General features: G+C 34.8%; 2 annotated features.

Moving 5' to 3' along the window:
• Nucleotides 4,362-4,980: an enhancer, noted in NCBI's record as "OCT4-NANOG-H3K27ac hESC enhancer chr4:116339738-116340356 (GRCh37/hg19 assembly coordinates)". NCBI's record gives its function as "activates a minimal SCP1, AML or CMV promoter by ChIP-STARR-seq in primed H9 embryonic stem cells {active_cell/tissue: H9 hESC(primed)}" and the evidence as "EXISTENCE:reporter gene assay evidence [ECO:0000049][PMID:30033119]".
• Nucleotides 4,981-5,600: an enhancer, noted in NCBI's record as "OCT4-NANOG-H3K27ac hESC enhancer chr4:116340357-116340976 (GRCh37/hg19 assembly coordinates)". NCBI's record gives its function as "activates a minimal SCP1, AML or CMV promoter by ChIP-STARR-seq in primed H9 embryonic stem cells {active_cell/tissue: H9 hESC(primed)}" and the evidence as "EXISTENCE:reporter gene assay evidence [ECO:0000049][PMID:30033119]".

The following is a 16,325-nucleotide window of genomic DNA, read 5'->3' on the forward strand; positions in this document are numbered from 1 at the left end:
TAGTTTTGACAACTCTTTGACTCCAAAACATATTAGTCCACTAGAGGAGAGTGTTCCTACTTATTTTGAGCTAGTCTTTTCCAAATGTATCTACAGAAAATGAGAAAGGAAGATGTAATTATATATAGCAAGTACGTGAATGAAATTCATATACTCTTGACTATGAAAAGAAAAAATGGCTTTCATAGATTATTTCAATATCTGTTTTATTAATCAGTACTTTAAAAATATCTGAAATGAGTAAGACTTTTTTTTTTTTTTTTAGTTTCAACATTTCAATTGGCTTTATTCAGGATTCTACAACTGGGCATTTCATTTAATAAAATAGAATAAGTGTTCAAATGAGCTGAGCAAAAGAAGTGGGATTTATATACAGTCAAGGACTGAAGAAAGCAGAAGCAAAGAACAAAGAGTGTATTAGTCTTTTCAAAGCCATTTTTTTGTAAGGCAGAGATAGGAAGACAAAACAATAAAATAATGACTGATAGCTCATATTAGGTTACTTCAGCCTTCTTTTGCGTAGGGATTAAAGCAGAGGGAACTTCATTACAATGCCCACTGAAGATTTAAACTGGCCTGTGTGGGTAATTGGCTGTTATTTCTCCTGATTTTTTGGAAGGTCAGGTAATAGCTGAGATTATTTCGATTTGGTGACCTGGAACTTTAGCATGGGTGACTCCATTTTGATTTTTAGTCTAGTATGTTGGGGCCTAGACTTTTAAAAGTCCTTTTCATGAGGAACCTTTGAGATATAATTGTATAATTTACTTTTTTTTAACACTTACACAGTCAACATACTAGATTACCATTAAGAGAGAGTGAAATTGATTTACTGTATTTTCAATTTGAGTGTGTGTGCTCTCACATCACGTTTTGGAACAATACATGTTTCAAATAAAAAATAATGTAACTAATTGCATTACATAATGTAACTAAATCCAAAAAGGATATACAATTCATCCACAAAACTTCATGGCATTTCGTTATGCAATAATGGTGTACTATTACTACATATAAAAAATTAAAAGCACATTTCAAAATCAATCATTTTTTTAAAATTCTAAGGTGTTAAAAATCTTATATTCTAAGACTTTTTCCTGGGCAATGTTTCCTATGGCATAAAACATCTATATGGATAATTTTCTGAAGAGAAATTAAAGGAGGAAAAAAATTATTATATTTAATTTTACATATATGCGTATACAATATGTAATAAATATACCCTTATACTTACACATTAATGTAAGCACATATACATTCATATAATATGAAGGAAAACAAAAGTGCAATTTTAGAGGTGATTTCATCTTAAGAATAAAAGAATAGAAGGAATTTCTGACAAAAAAGGCAATATTTAAAAAAATTATGTGCTTACTTTTACATTCTAATAATAATACTGATGGCTAAATTACTCTATTCATTGAAACAGAATGAGGAAAGGTCATTACTGTTTTTCATTGAGCACTTTTAAATGTTCACACACACAACACACACACAGGGTGGGGTAGGGTTTTTTGTTCTAAAAGGTGTTTCAGTGTTTATTATCATGTATTTCATCTGGTTTCTTCTAAAATTGTTTATGCCTACAGCTTGGAAAATTATAGTTTAAGTAAGAATAGTTATTTCTTTGTGCCACACTTTTAGAGCAAAATTGGAAATCACAGTTTGAATCCCCTTCTTTCTCTGTTTCTTAAATGCAAAATCTACTAGTCATAAATGTCAGTTTTACATTGGAACACAATCTACTTAAAAATACAGTACATACAAAATTGAAAGTGTCTTCTTTGTTCTTTCCTACAACTTGAATAATGTTGAGTCAAAGGCATTTTGTTGTTTAATACTATTAAACTTTAGTCCTATACGTGTTATCAAATAAGCCTACATTTCAAGTTTAAAATCTTTTTAAAACATGTCTTTTCCTTCCTACTGTTCTTTTAATTTTGCACATTATAAGCCTAATTCTCCAGTCCACAGGTTTACGCAGGGGGTGGGGAAAATTGCAATTCTCACCCCTGTGGGAGCTTTGCCTTTCTCTGCAAGTCTGTTCTACCCCAAGACCCAGGAGATGTTGAGGAAGCAGTGTGTGTCCCCTGGCAGAGTGATCTACTCCTAGTCTGTGCTACATCACATCTTTGTGTCATCTCTGTGTGTAAGTGTGTGTGTGTGTGTGTGTGTGTGTGTGTAATATTGTGATATTGTGCCAGCATACAATGGCTCAATAACTTGACAACTGCAGGCAGGTGGAATTTATTGCTTGTAACAGGGAACTAAAAATGGTTTTGATGTGGAGATAAGTTTTTTCACACCCTATAGTTAAGGTGGAACCCCATGTAGATGATAAGAAAAATAAAACAATAAATGGAGTATGATCTTTTTTGTAGTCTTATTATGTTGCATAATTTTTTATGTTATACAACATAAAAAATTTTTAACTTGCCTTAAACATTGCATTATATTGAGAATCATAGTGCAACAAAACAGGGCTAAGTATCTCAACAAGCAGTGAAACCAAGTACTCCAAATATTTGTAAATTAAGAACATCTCTATAAAGTATTTTAGTACACTATGTCTGGGACGAATACTTTTCCTAAAATTAATTCTAATGACTGAAACTTAATTAGACATATTGCATGACAGAATTTAATAATAGTTAATAAAGAAAACCATGCATTAGTAGCTGCAGATTTTGAGTGAGACAAAATAGGAGTACCTTAATGATTAATAAAAATAGAAAAAATAAAAAGAAAACCGATATGTAAACTTACTACCAAATTTCTGTATATTCTTTCAACAGGTAATGGGGAGATGAAGGAGAGTGTAGATGAATAATTTCCCTTAAAATATTCTTATCTATGTTTCAAGTGAGTTCAAGTGTCCAAAAAAATAAAATGGAGAGGGAAATGATATGCATCATTAATGAGAAGAACTAAAACACTTAATTAGTATTTTTTAAAAAAGCATTTCCTCACATGTTGCAGTCATTTGTGTTAGTGTGGTACACACATCTGTGGAGTATACAAACATCTGTGAAGTGCTATAATTGTTTCTGGTAATAGGTTCTTCAGAGCTAACATCTGATGCTCTGCAATTCCAGAATATTTGATGCTTCTATCTAGATGAAGAACTCACATTATAGGCCCATACCCCTGTGTCTCTATGCCCACCCTCACTATTGGTTTGAAACATTTTAAAAATCTAAATGCATACCAAATGTGTCACATAGAGTTTCCTTCTCTAGACTCCTTAAAAATTCTACCTGTCTCCAAGACCTTTGATTCTCTATTTTAATGTTTCAAATATCTATACAATTAGTTGGCAAAGAATTGTTTCAAATCAGATTTATTGTGATGAATTTATATTTAATACTTAGAAAAATTATGATGACATGTTCATGCATACTGGCTATATAAATGAATGTCTAATATCAGTGAAATGATGGAGGGATTGAGGACCAATTGAGTATTTCACATTACTAGTCTAAGCATTTAACAAAATCAATTCTTATTCATAATGTTGTTAAAAGAGCACAGGTCTTGAGATCGGATACACTTGCTTTGGAACACTATCATTGTCTTTAAATGTGATTTTGACTCAGTTTTCATTAATTTCCTTAGGCCTCTTTTTCTTTATCATGAGAATGATTATTTATGAAGCAAAAACTGTGCCAATGTTAGATGTTCAGTTCCCTGCCACCTTTCCTTTTCAGTGGCAGCTGAAGTATCAAAATACGAGAACACAAATGATATGTTTATACAATTGTAACATTATCAATATATTTTTTAAAAAGCATTTTGAAATATGGCTGTATTGTCAGAACTCATTAATATCTAGTGAGTAGGAAAAATTATAATTTTCTAATTTGTTATTAATAATTCATGTCTAAGAAATTTATAAAAAGATGGGTAAATGAATTAGTTCTGTATTTTCTTATGACATTGCAAGTATTCTCACTTTGGAAATGTTACTACTTTTCTGGCATTTAGATTCTGAATGAAAACTACTTAAATCATTGCAATTGACACTATCCAGATTTGTTAAATACCATTGATAGAGGCAGGAGACAGCCAAGTGCCTAGGCAGGTAGGGGAGGGTCCCCCAAGAACCTCCAAACCACCCAGGTCATTGTGCACAAGGGGCTTGCCTACACACGCCCACATTGAAAAATTCCACCCCTTAACACATGCACAGTAAGGGAAATAAATCAATGTGGAGTGGCTCAGACTAAGGGCCTGCATGTACACTGGATGGATGGGGTGAAGCCACCAGGAATTCATGCCTTATGCATGGAAGGAGCCTGGCCTCTTCAGCTCGTGTGTGGAAGTCCTGGTACTCCATTGTGAGGGGGAAATCTGCTTGGAGAACCCCTCTCTTTGCAGAGCTTTCCTTTCACTTAATAAATTCCAACCTCCTCACCCTTCAATGTGTTCATATTCCTAATTTTTCACTGTCTTGAGAAAAGAACCTGGATTTAGCTGAACTAAGGAACAAAAATCCAGCATCATTTTGGTGGTCTATATGGGGACACATCAGAAGGGTGAGTAAAATGCAGACACAAAAATCTCTTTTACTTTTGTTTCTGAGCTTTCTCGTCCTCAGACTTTTTCTGAGGGCAAGGGAAACTGTCCACTCCTACCGTTGTTCTCAGGGGTTGGGAATGTTGGCCTTGGTCCAACCCAGTCTTTTCTTTGGCATTTTCCTTATTTTTGTTTTTGTTTTTGTTTGTTTGTTTGTTTTTTCAGGACTGTAATGACATCGATCTTTTCTCTTACAATATTGGGGGTGTTCCACCCCTCACCCCAATGGCCACGGGCTCACGTGCGGAACAGATGGACAAGTGGTGGCTCCCGTCCCCTGCCCCTCCTCCCCAAGGGCCCTGCATGTCCTGCTGGCCAGCATTTCCCGCTGGCCATCCCCTCCTACCAGATGCCCATGGAATGTTTCCCCCTCTGGATGAGTCAGGAAGGAGAAGACAGCAAGAGTTTCTCTCCTTGTTGGAGAAATCCATTTGCATAAGAATAGGAGGTTCTTCCCCCAGGCATCTTCCCCACCCAGCACTCAAACTGTTCTTTTTTCTTTTCTCCACCCTGTCAGCAGTTAACACAGCCCTACACTTAAGCTGATTTTTTAATTTTTTTTTTTTTAATTTTCTCTACCAGGTCAGGAGTTGATGGGTTGGCATGAAGGTAGTTGTGGGGTTTTTTTGCCATTAGAATGGTAGGGATGGCAATTGCTTTTGCACCAACCTAATAACATAGCCCTGTGAGTACAGGGGACTTGTCTATGCCAGAGGATTTTTCTGAAAGGTGTTTTACTAGGCCAGGACCTCAGTTCACAAGATACATTTCTCTTCCTTGTTTGAGGAGGCAGCAAAGGAGCAACGCTGCTGACTGGTGGCTGCCGTCTGGCGAGGGACACCTGACACTTAATAATGAGTCCATGCAACCTCCTGAGGGAGTTATTTTGTCCCAAACTCAATTCCAAGCTTTGGGTTGAAGCCCTAGGAAAGAAAACTGGATTGGAGGGATCCAGAGGCAGACAACAACAGAGGTTAGAAGGCACAGTGCAGGTAAGCATGACTAATTCCTGCTGATTAAGGCAAGCATCCCATTTCATGCATGGAGGTCATGCTAACATCCATGGAATAAATGAGGTCTAGGGAACTCAAAGGTTACAACAGCAGGGTGGGGCAGAGGGTATGTGGGTAAGAGTAGATAATCCCAGCCCCTAGATCCCCTGTTAACATGAGTGAAAGCTGCATTGGCACCCACAGTGGCACCCTGTTGAGGTCACCAGGACTCAGGGATATAAGGATGGAAAAAAGAGAACGGATGCCTCCTCTCTCTCCCTCACATAGTCTGGGTATTCACTGGGAAGAGAAGGGAGTTAGGAGTGCCTTATCCCCTCTTCCCTGATTGGTAACCTTTCATCTTCTTCTTCCATCTATAATTCTCTCGAATCTCTCCTGAACCCCTAGAAATTTGAAATAAAAAACAAATAGCCTTCCTTTTCCTTTTTTCTCCTCTGTCCTCTCTTCACAGATAGGTAATTGTGTCCTCATACTACAGGACACTTCCCTTGGATGCATACTCCAAACTGGGAAAACTAAAATTTCCTAAATCTTAAACTGGTTGGCTTAGAATTGAGCTTGGGGGAAGGGAACCCGGAAGCCTGGGATGCTGGCAAAAAGGTAAAAGATTTTTACTACTCGGACTTTTGGTTTCTCTCTCCCTGTGCAAACCAGTAAAAGGAATGGTAAGGATCACTGTTTATATTCTCTGTAAAGTTTTGATTAATGGAAAAGGATTTGTGATGTTGGTTTTAAGCTGTAGCCAATCTGGTGTGCTTTGCATATCTTTCTATATGGTTCTGTTAGAAAGAAGGATGTCTTAAGATAAGATGCAGACCTAGGACCCCCATAAACCAGCTGTTCACGTCAGCCCAGCAAACTGCCCAGTAACAAACTTTGCAGCAGGCCTCCATCTTGTTTTACATTCTTAGGAACATGACCTGTAACCTCTGCAGTTTTACAATAGTGAGCCAGGTTCAATTCTAACTTGGGGAATGAGTACTTTAATAGTTGTGTGAGTTTTGTCATTTGTTAATTCTCTTCCCCTCTATGAACAACTTCTACCTTCCTTTCTTAAATCTTCCTTTCTCTGGGTTACCCTTAAAGATTCCAGATGTTGTAAAAACTGCTTTCCCTACTTTGAAAGACTTTTCACACTCACGATTAAGTCAGAACCTTAATTAAGGCTTGTTGGTTTTACCTGTGAAGTTACTTTTGGTAAAGCACAAAAGCCAGAAATATTGGCCGCTTGATATGGCTGAGGTCAGGTAACAAGGGATCCAAAAGGATTTTCTTAAAGAGCTCTCAGCTTAATTAAAAGTGGATATCCAAGCTATAGGTATATTTAAAAGGCATTTATGTTTTTCTTTTCTTGGATCTTGTTTTAGTGGAAAAGATTTTTTTTTCTTCTCAGTTGACTAAATTACTTTTCTCCACTTTGTCTTGCTACTCTTAATGCATGTGTGAGTGGCCCTAATAAAATTCCTGATGGTCTGGGACTCTTTGGAAAAAACAGAAAAGGTGCTGTAAATTCCATTTTAGTAGAAACCTGTGTTTTTCTCATAGGACCCCAGGAATTAGAGATGGATAGATTCCCCTCAAAATCTGTTTTGTCTTCTAGCTGTATCTGTTTATTAGACCCTAGAAACTGCATGCTTTCTTATGCTTTCTCTTAAACGGCACTCCCCAGAGGCGAATAAGCCAATTAGGAGATTGGCAAATGAAAAATCTTGTAAATACTGGATCTTCGTCTGTCTGTCTGTGTAGTTACATATGTGTTGTGTGTTTTGCATATAAAAAAGAACTCTAATGAATTGGCTTAAAAATAGGTATTTAGATCAAATGTATTTTTAAGAAAAGGTAAAGCTGTAATAACTTTTATTTCACATGACTTTAATCTTTGAGAAATAAAAAGTATTAAAGATAATTGGTGAAATGCAAATGTTGTTAAAAGGTAAATAGGTGGTCTAAATTGTGCAAGTCAGATACTAGGTTTGCTAAATGTTTTAAGTTGTAAACTGCCTCTTTGGCCTTTGAGAACTGTTTGACTTGCCTCCTTTACATCTTGGCAAGGCCTCAGGAGATATGGAATTAACTACATCCTTAACTATGCTGGAAGGAGTCAAATTTTTTCGGGACCTAGTTCATAATTAAAACAACTTACCAGATTTTTTATTAAAGTTAAAAATTGCTAAGTGTTACCATTATAACATGTAATTGAGACCACTGAAAACAGATTTACCTGCAAGATAAGTAAGAACAGTAAAATGTGTTTTTAGTAAAAGATTTTAAGAAGGCATGGAAATGTAAATTTTCGCCTAGGGTTAAAGGCTGGTTTTAAATTAGGTAAAATAAACTAAGGGTTTAAACAAGTTGTGGAAGTTTGTAAAAATGAACTTTGCAAAAGGAATTCTGTGTGTAAATATATTGACTAAATTCAAAAGGATATTATATGTTTTTTCCATAAATTGTGCATTAAAATAAAAGCACTACAAGGTTCTCTTAAGGCACTAATCTGCTCTTTAGCAAAATTTTTAAAGGGTTATACAAAGCTTATAAGAATCTTACCTCATAGTCAAGCTGGTTAAGAATGGGTATAATTGTCTTTTAGGTTTCTTTAGGAAATTGAGGTTTGGTTGGGCATGGTGGTTCACTCCTGTAATTCCAGCATTTTGGGAGGCTGAGGCAGACAGATCACTTGAGGTCAGGAGTTAGAGACCAGCCTGGCCAACATGGTGAAACCTTGTCTCTGGTGAAAACACAAAAATTACCTGGGTGTGGTGGCGGGTGCCGGTAATCCCAATTACTCTGGAGGCTGAGGCAGGAGAATCACTTGAACTCAGGAGGCAGAGACACAGTGAGCTGAGATTGTGCCACTGCATTCCAGCCTGGGCAACAAAATGAGAATCTGTCTCAAAAGAAAAAAGAAAATTCAGGTTGACGTTAATAGTAAACTAATGTAAGGGTAAAATTTGGTTTTCTCTTCTTGTACAAAATTTTCATGTACTAGTAAAGGATAATGGAAGATTTTCATTTGCCTTGCAAATAAACTGCCAAGGAAAAGAAAGTGAAGACCAGAGACAAATTGGAAAGCTAAGTCTTCCCTCTTAATGAGTAAAAGTTTTTGCTTTGTTTTAAAAATTTTTTAAATCATTATTTTGGCTAAATAAATAGCTAATGTTAGTCTGGAATTGTAGTTCATTATTTCAAGTGTCTTAAACTTCTAACATATTTAACAGGCTTCCCAAAATCAAACTGCAGTTTCAAGGTTATCTTTTCTGATTCCTAGCTTTTGGATGCTACAAAGGGCCCCTGGAGCATCCAAAAGAGAGGTAAACAAGATTATTTGACATTTTTGGGTATAGGGGCTTGCCAAAATGATGCTTAATCTTCTTCACATTATATTGCAGTGAATAACATTAATATATTTTCCAAAATTATATGGGATTTTTAAAATTTTAAAGTCTAAGTATATGCTATCAATCTTAATTAAGGTTATTAAGTTATTGTAAACCACAAAGATAATGAAATTTCTTTGTCATTTGTGTTTTTAACTGTAAAAATGCTGGACATTATGTTATTTACAGACAATTGTTTTGATCCTCTTCAAACGATAGTTTATGATAAGCTATAGAACTTTGACAGGTGCTCTCAAATGCAAGTTTCTGATAACTTTGGAGGATGTAACATTGGAATAGAGGAAAAAAGTACAGGACTCCATGAAGAGCTGACATGTTCATGAATAGTAAGCGGAGCAAGAACTAACGGAATGGACTGAACTAATAGAAAACGGAAGTAATCTTTTTTTTCCTTTTGCTTAAAACATTGCTGATCCTTGTTTTGTTTTTCAGAGTCAAGGAAACTTATTTTGAGCTATTTACAGCCTTTAATAATTGAGTAAGGTATACTCTTGTGAACATAATTTGGAGTATATTTCTTTCTTTCTGCCTGGCTTCTCCAAAATTTTGAAACTAGTTGTGAGTATTCTTAACTTACGGCAATATAGTTATTTGCATCAGGGCAGTAAGAATCCATTTTCTTTTGCAAAGGAACAAAATTGCAGAAACTGGTTGTTTTACCAAGGCTTTGACTGAAAGAATGTGCTTCCCTTTAAGGAATCAAGCTTAACTTGCAAAGCCAATAAAAGCCCCTTGGGAAAAGTGACCTCATACCTTGTCTACATAGTCCCCTTATGGGGTTCCTAACCTGTGGTGAGTAAAGAATACCACTTTCTAACAGCCCTAGGAACCCCATGTTCTTGGGACCTCAAGAAGAGAGGAGTTTACCCAACTCTTAGATATTTGAGGGCACAAATCCATGGCTTGGCTCAACTTTAAAAGGCTTTATCTGAGGTTCCTTGTGGAAGAGAGTCCCATCAAAGCCAATTTAAAAGGCCTATGTAAAGTTAATTATCTTGCTGCACTTTATGCAAATAATCAACCCAAGTATAAGGCTAAAGTTTGTTTTGCAAACAATATGGTCCTATCATGATTTGTTTATAACAAAAATGAGGACTGGAGAGAGAACAATTATGTTTCAAAAGTTATCATGCATTTGCCACTAAATTCTAATCTCATTAGTTGTTTTTAAGTCCTTTGTCTACATTTTAGACTAACCCTGTTTATCTTATAAACCAACCAGTTATCTCTGGCTGCAACTCAGAAGACACAAAAAGGAATCAGTAATATAACAATGTGGATCAGAATTCTAGTTCTGGGCAATTATCCTGCAAATCCTGCCTGGTGATAGGAATAAATAGGGTGCCCATAACCCAGATATTTCCTCTGGGAAAATAAGACCACAGTAGCTAAACAAAGCAAAGCCCATGCACCCCAATCTTAGTAGGCATAACTGTAGCCAGTTATCTGGCTGTGGCAGCAGCCTTGGGATTTTTGAGCTGTCCTTACCCTACCCCTTGTTTCATTTTGATACATATCTTCTAATAACCCAGTTTGTATAACCAGTTTGTCTCTTCTCACTTTCAGGCCATCAAACTCCAAATGATCATGCAACCAGAGCCTCAGAGAACACCCCTTTAACTGAGAACCCTTAGATTGGCCTCTGAGGGAGATTTAAGTGCTATTTTCCCAAAACAACACCCCCTTTCAGAAGGAAGCCGTTAATATTGGTCATCATCCTTATCCTCCAACCCACCTAGGTCATTGTGCACAATGGGCTTGCCTAAACATGCCCATGGTGAAAAATTCCATCCCTTAGCACATGTGCAATAAGGAAAGTAAATCATTGTGGACTGGCTCAGACTAGGGGCCTGCATGCACACTGGAAGGACAGGGTGGAGACACCAGGAATTCACACCTTATGCAAGGGAGGGGCCTGGCCTCTTCAGCTTATGTGTAGAAGTCCTGGTACTCCATTGTGAGGAGGAAACCTGCTTGGAAAACCCCTCTCTTTGCAGAGAGCTTTCCTTTCACTTATTAAATTCTGTCCTCCTCACCTTTCAATGTGTCTATGTGCCAAATTTTTCCTGGCTGTGAAACAAGAACCCAGCTTTAGCTGAACTAAGGAGTAAAATCCTGCCTCATCATTAAGAAAGCACTGTAAGCCTCTTTGAAATACATTTTTATGAAAATAGAAACTATAATAATTACTAGAATTGTGCCAAATTACAGACATACCAATAAAAAAGAAAGAAAATACCAGTTATGACAATTTGCTTCTCAGCTATAATTTTGTTCCATATTTTACTCTTTCCTTAATGGAGTAGTTTCTAGGTGAAGATACAAAATATTTATCTTATTGAGAAAAGTGTGGCTTCATTACAACTGATTTGCCAAAACTATAATGTCATCAATCTGAATTCTATTATTTCATTGTGGTCAATTTAGCTTCAGTCTCAATTTTTGACATGGACTTGTATTTCATGCCCTTCTTGTAGGAGTTAGGGATATTTTAAATTCAAGATGTGGCTTCACATTTTACATTTTGATATTAGAACTCCACTTCTATCAATGGTATATATTAAAAATGCTCATTTGCAGAAACTTTCTATAGATTTTGTAAAACTAATCTTGAGAATTCTATTCAAAATCGTTAAATATCACTTATATAATAACTACAACCAAATGATTCTTAGGGTTTGGTATTAAGCATTTTATTTATTCTCCCAAAAACGGGCTTGCACTTCTTAGACTGTGAAAGCCAAGTATTCACTGTATTTTCACTTTTAATTCATTTAAAGCAAGTGAATAAATAAGGTTTTATTAAAATGCAGTAGTTATATGTATCCTAATTTTTGGCACAAATAAACACTCTCTCATTCTCATTCATTAGTTGGGTCTTATTATTTTATTTGTTGTCAGAGTTCTAGGGCTTGTGGGGTGTGTGTGTGTGTGTGTGTGTGTGTGTGTGTGTGTGTATGTGTCTTTGGTAAGTCAACTATAATATTTATGGAGGTCCTTAAATTATAGATGAAAAACGAAATCAATTTATATTTGTAAAAAGGATCATGAATACTATTTTTTATCCTGAATGAGAAAAGCAAGGTTACTAAGTGTAGCAATAGGTTCTAATTTTGCATAGATGATTAAAGTGAAATAAAGGGTAAGATTGTGGAATTTTTTAATACTTCAGAGCAGATTACTGAGGAAAGTTGAGAAATCTTTTTTAAAAACTTAGAGGAGGTAACAACACTCTGAAATTCCTATCTATACACTGCAATTATTTTTGAAAAAAATATGATTTAATAATGATAAACTTTGGACAGTGTTTTGCTGAAAATTAAATAGGCACCACCTTCCAGAGCAATATCAGTATTGTGGTATTGCTAAAGCTTTCCAAGTTTGACCATCTGTACTCCTAGACTTATCCTAAAGAAGTAAACAGCCTCACTGAAAAATCTCCAGTGCTTTTGTCTTCTTTACAATTGCCTTGAATATGAATAAGAACTTTCATCCTTTGAACAGTGTTTGAAAGAATCTACCTGAAACACAAATGATTAAAAACCAACAGCTGTATAGTAATGGTATGTAGAAACTTTACAGAAGAGAGTAGATCTGTTTCTGTAACTTTATATATGAAGAAATAAATATGAATCAATTTTTATTTAAAATGTGTTCAAATATCATACTCTTAATCAAGAAACAAAATAATGCCTTTTATTTTTTAAAAATTAACAGAAGATAATTTCTACTTTTTAAACTTTATTTCTGTCAGTAAAGTATCACACTGTATTTGTTGCCTTTCTTCAAGAAACACACTATTCCATAACTTCCTTCTAAGAAGCATTATGAGTATGCCTTTTACTAAAGTACCAGCTACAGAAGTCATGCATTTCTCAGAATTTTACCTAAAAACTGCTGTTATATTCTTTCCCTTTTTCATTTAGGCATTTAAATGAGATGGGTACTTTACAGATACTCATTAGTGGATCTGATTCTTTCTCTAGCAGTCACCTTCACAGGAGGAAATAGAACTGGCATCATGCATACATTCAAATTCTAAAATTGTATTCGAGAGAATAAAAAAATTATCTTCTCTTCTTTCTCAATTTTAATTCATTTTCTCTTTTGGCTCACAAAAGGGGCACAATTAGGTGAGGTGTCATGGGGAAGAGGCCGGGGAGACAAAAGGGAAAGACATTCTCGTTAGTTGAAATTGTATTTCCTGCTTGTTAATTATCTGGATGCTGAGCTACCTGACTTGAGAAAAGTAACTTTTTAAAATGTTGCCATGTCTTTGTAACAGATTATTAACATAAAGTTTAAATTTTAATTGGATATTTGGTAAGTGACCTTTATTACTCCTGGAAGGAACATGATATGCAATAATTAAATAATCCCATTGGAGTCAAGAGGATTCCAAATGTCAAGATGGCATTGAAAGTGGAACAGGCTGCGCTTCTAATTTTCAAAATCAAAATAGCAAAACAAACCACACACAGTAAACTCACTGAGACAATGAAAATAAGACTACTGTCCACCAACGCATTACCGATACATCTTTAGAAATATGTAAAAATAAAATCCTGAGCCCTTCATGCTTAACCACAGTAATGAATAGGACCTACTACTTAAGTGTGATTAGATGTTCTCAGGGATGAGAAGAGTATTGAATTAAATATAGTATTGAATTAAATATGTGTTTTATTATGTAAAAAATACGTCACAATGCTACATGGAAGTAGGTTTGATGGAGTCATTGACATTGGAATTTACTCTGCAAAAAATTTGACTACTGCAACTCCACTAAACTTGTGATGAGGAAACTTGTGATGATGAGTGAGAGTATGAGATTGTTCAGAAAGTAATATAATGTGTACCTTCCCAAGAAGGAGGAAGTATGTCTGTGACAGGATAAACACTGTTTGGGAATTTTAATACTGTATTTTCTTCTTCCTAAAACATCAGTTTCCTCTGATCATATTTAAGAGGTTAGCCAGCCTTATATTTCATTTCCTCAGGGTATGTCTAAGGCAGAGCAAAAAGTAAAGGGGGCAAATCAGTCTAGTTTTTGCTTTCTGAATGTTTAAGCTCTTGGAAGAACTTAGTAAATTTAAAGTATAAGTAAAAATAACAAAGAGCCTGGTGCAGATGTCAAAATAGGTCCCAATCTTGCCACTGACTAAAGTATTTTATCAAAGAGAGACAAGCTGATAAGGAAGACAAATTGTTTTCGCTATGATTACCACTTATGAGGAGACCCGTGACAGGGCAAAGTATTCAGATTTATCATTTGACCTGAGAATTAAAAGCTCAAAGCTATTTAGTAATATGTTTAACATATATTTTAGCAAGAATGGTGTACAGGAGCAAGGTAAGCCTCTCATTCTATTGCTAAATATACTCAGTAGAGCCTTCAATTTTATCTCTGCTCCAGAGGGTTCTGGCTCTGAAGACTTTTTCTCTGACTGAAGTGATGTGATTCATCAATTTCTGCCTTTCACAATCGTAAACACAACTTTACATGCCATAAACTATTTCTTTCTACTATGATCACTGTTAGCAAATTATTACTCCTACTTTAACTTACAACTGGACCCAATTTGTATGCAGACTTCCATCAAAACATTTGCTTTGCTTCAGCATTTCCTTAAATCAAAACCTACTGTTGGATTCTATGTTAATACAGCACATACGTATTGGGTAATCTACAAATGTATATGTAGAGTATAATTATGCATAGTTATAAAAGTACATACACACATATCATATGTATACAAATTATGAATTATTAGGTAAACCACTTAAAGAAAATTTAGAATATACTTCTGATGGTTAGTATTAAGTGTCAACTTGATTGGATTGAAAGATGCAAAGTATTGTTTCTGGGTGTGACTGTGAAGATGTTGATAGAGTTGCATCTGTAACTATTGTAGTACTTTCAATATTTGTAATTTCACTTATGACTATAATTAATTATTATATATAATTATTTTGAAATGCCTACCATTGAAAACATAATTTTGAATCAACTACTGCTGCTGCTGCTATTACCACCACTACAACAAATATAATTATGACTACAGCCAGACAATATTTATTGAAAATTTATTCTTTTCCTTCCTAATCACATTGTAAATAATAAGCTTTTACTAAGCACTTATTTTGTGTCTTTCATTGTTTTAAGTGTTTTGTATGTATAAACGATTTCGATATTATTTTATTCTTTTAAGCTTCACAACATATTAATGAAGCAGCTACATTTGGTTAGCTACTTTAGAGATGAGGAAACAGAAGAACAGAGAAACCTATAAAACTAATATGTTGCATAAAACTAACGTAACATTTTATAATATACCATTAAAATAATTTGCATTGGAAGTGGATGTTTTTTTTAAAAAAATTGTTCTTTGAAGCTTAGAATATTGAGTAATAAATCATTTGAATAAAGTAACAGGCAACTCTTTATATATATATATATATTTTGGGGGGGTGGTAGTTCGCTTACCCTTAAATAATTTTGTTATACAAGTTTTCTATACCTCAACAGAAAAAAGAAAAGTGAACTCTCTGGTACTGAATTCCCTAGTGTTGTCCAGAAGTCCAGCATTTTGCTACTAGAAGGAATCAATTAGGGGCATAGTATTTACCTTACTTAAATGTGATATGAAAATACCCTTGAATATGGTTTTTGTCTATTTTAGATTGCATATAATTTTATAATTACAATTTACCCTTAATTCATTTTTTATTTAAATATGTAAGTTTTAGCAGGAAAGCACCTATATTGAAAAAGATTCTCCTATAAGGTAGTAATCTGCCTTCAATTACTGTTCTCTCCTAGAATTCGTCAATTTTCTCTATTGACTTTTTCTTGTTATTTTAATTGTAAAAATAACACTTTTGGAAGAAACCTATTGCATTAGTCATTAAAACGTTTAGAAGAAAAGCTTCAGCCATCACATCATGTTTCACCTTATAGTTCTAGAAGACAAAAACCATAATTGTGTTACCAATGTGCCCTCCCATAACATAGTTCCTAAATGATTCATCTTTATAAAAAAATGTTTTTAAGACTGATAAGAAAGATTTAAAAGAGAAGAAATATGATCTTATCTTCTTTTCTACAATCCATAAGCCAATATAGAACAGGAAAGTGTTTTTAAGTAATGCTATTTCATGCTGAACGTGAACAGCACAGGGAAGATTATTTTTCCTATGGAAAGGAAAGTCAAATGGCCAAAAGCTTATTACTTACTACATAGCCCAAGATACAAATATGAGTAGCAGGTATTTCCAAATGAAAGTGCCACATAAAGGCAGCAGTACAGTCAAATATGAAAATTTTTCAAAGAATCTG

This window comes from Homo sapiens, chromosome 4, assembly GCF_000001405.40.
Source record: "Homo sapiens chromosome 4, GRCh38.p14 Primary Assembly".
Lineage (NCBI taxonomy): Eukaryota > Metazoa > Chordata > Mammalia > Primates > Hominidae > Homo > Homo sapiens.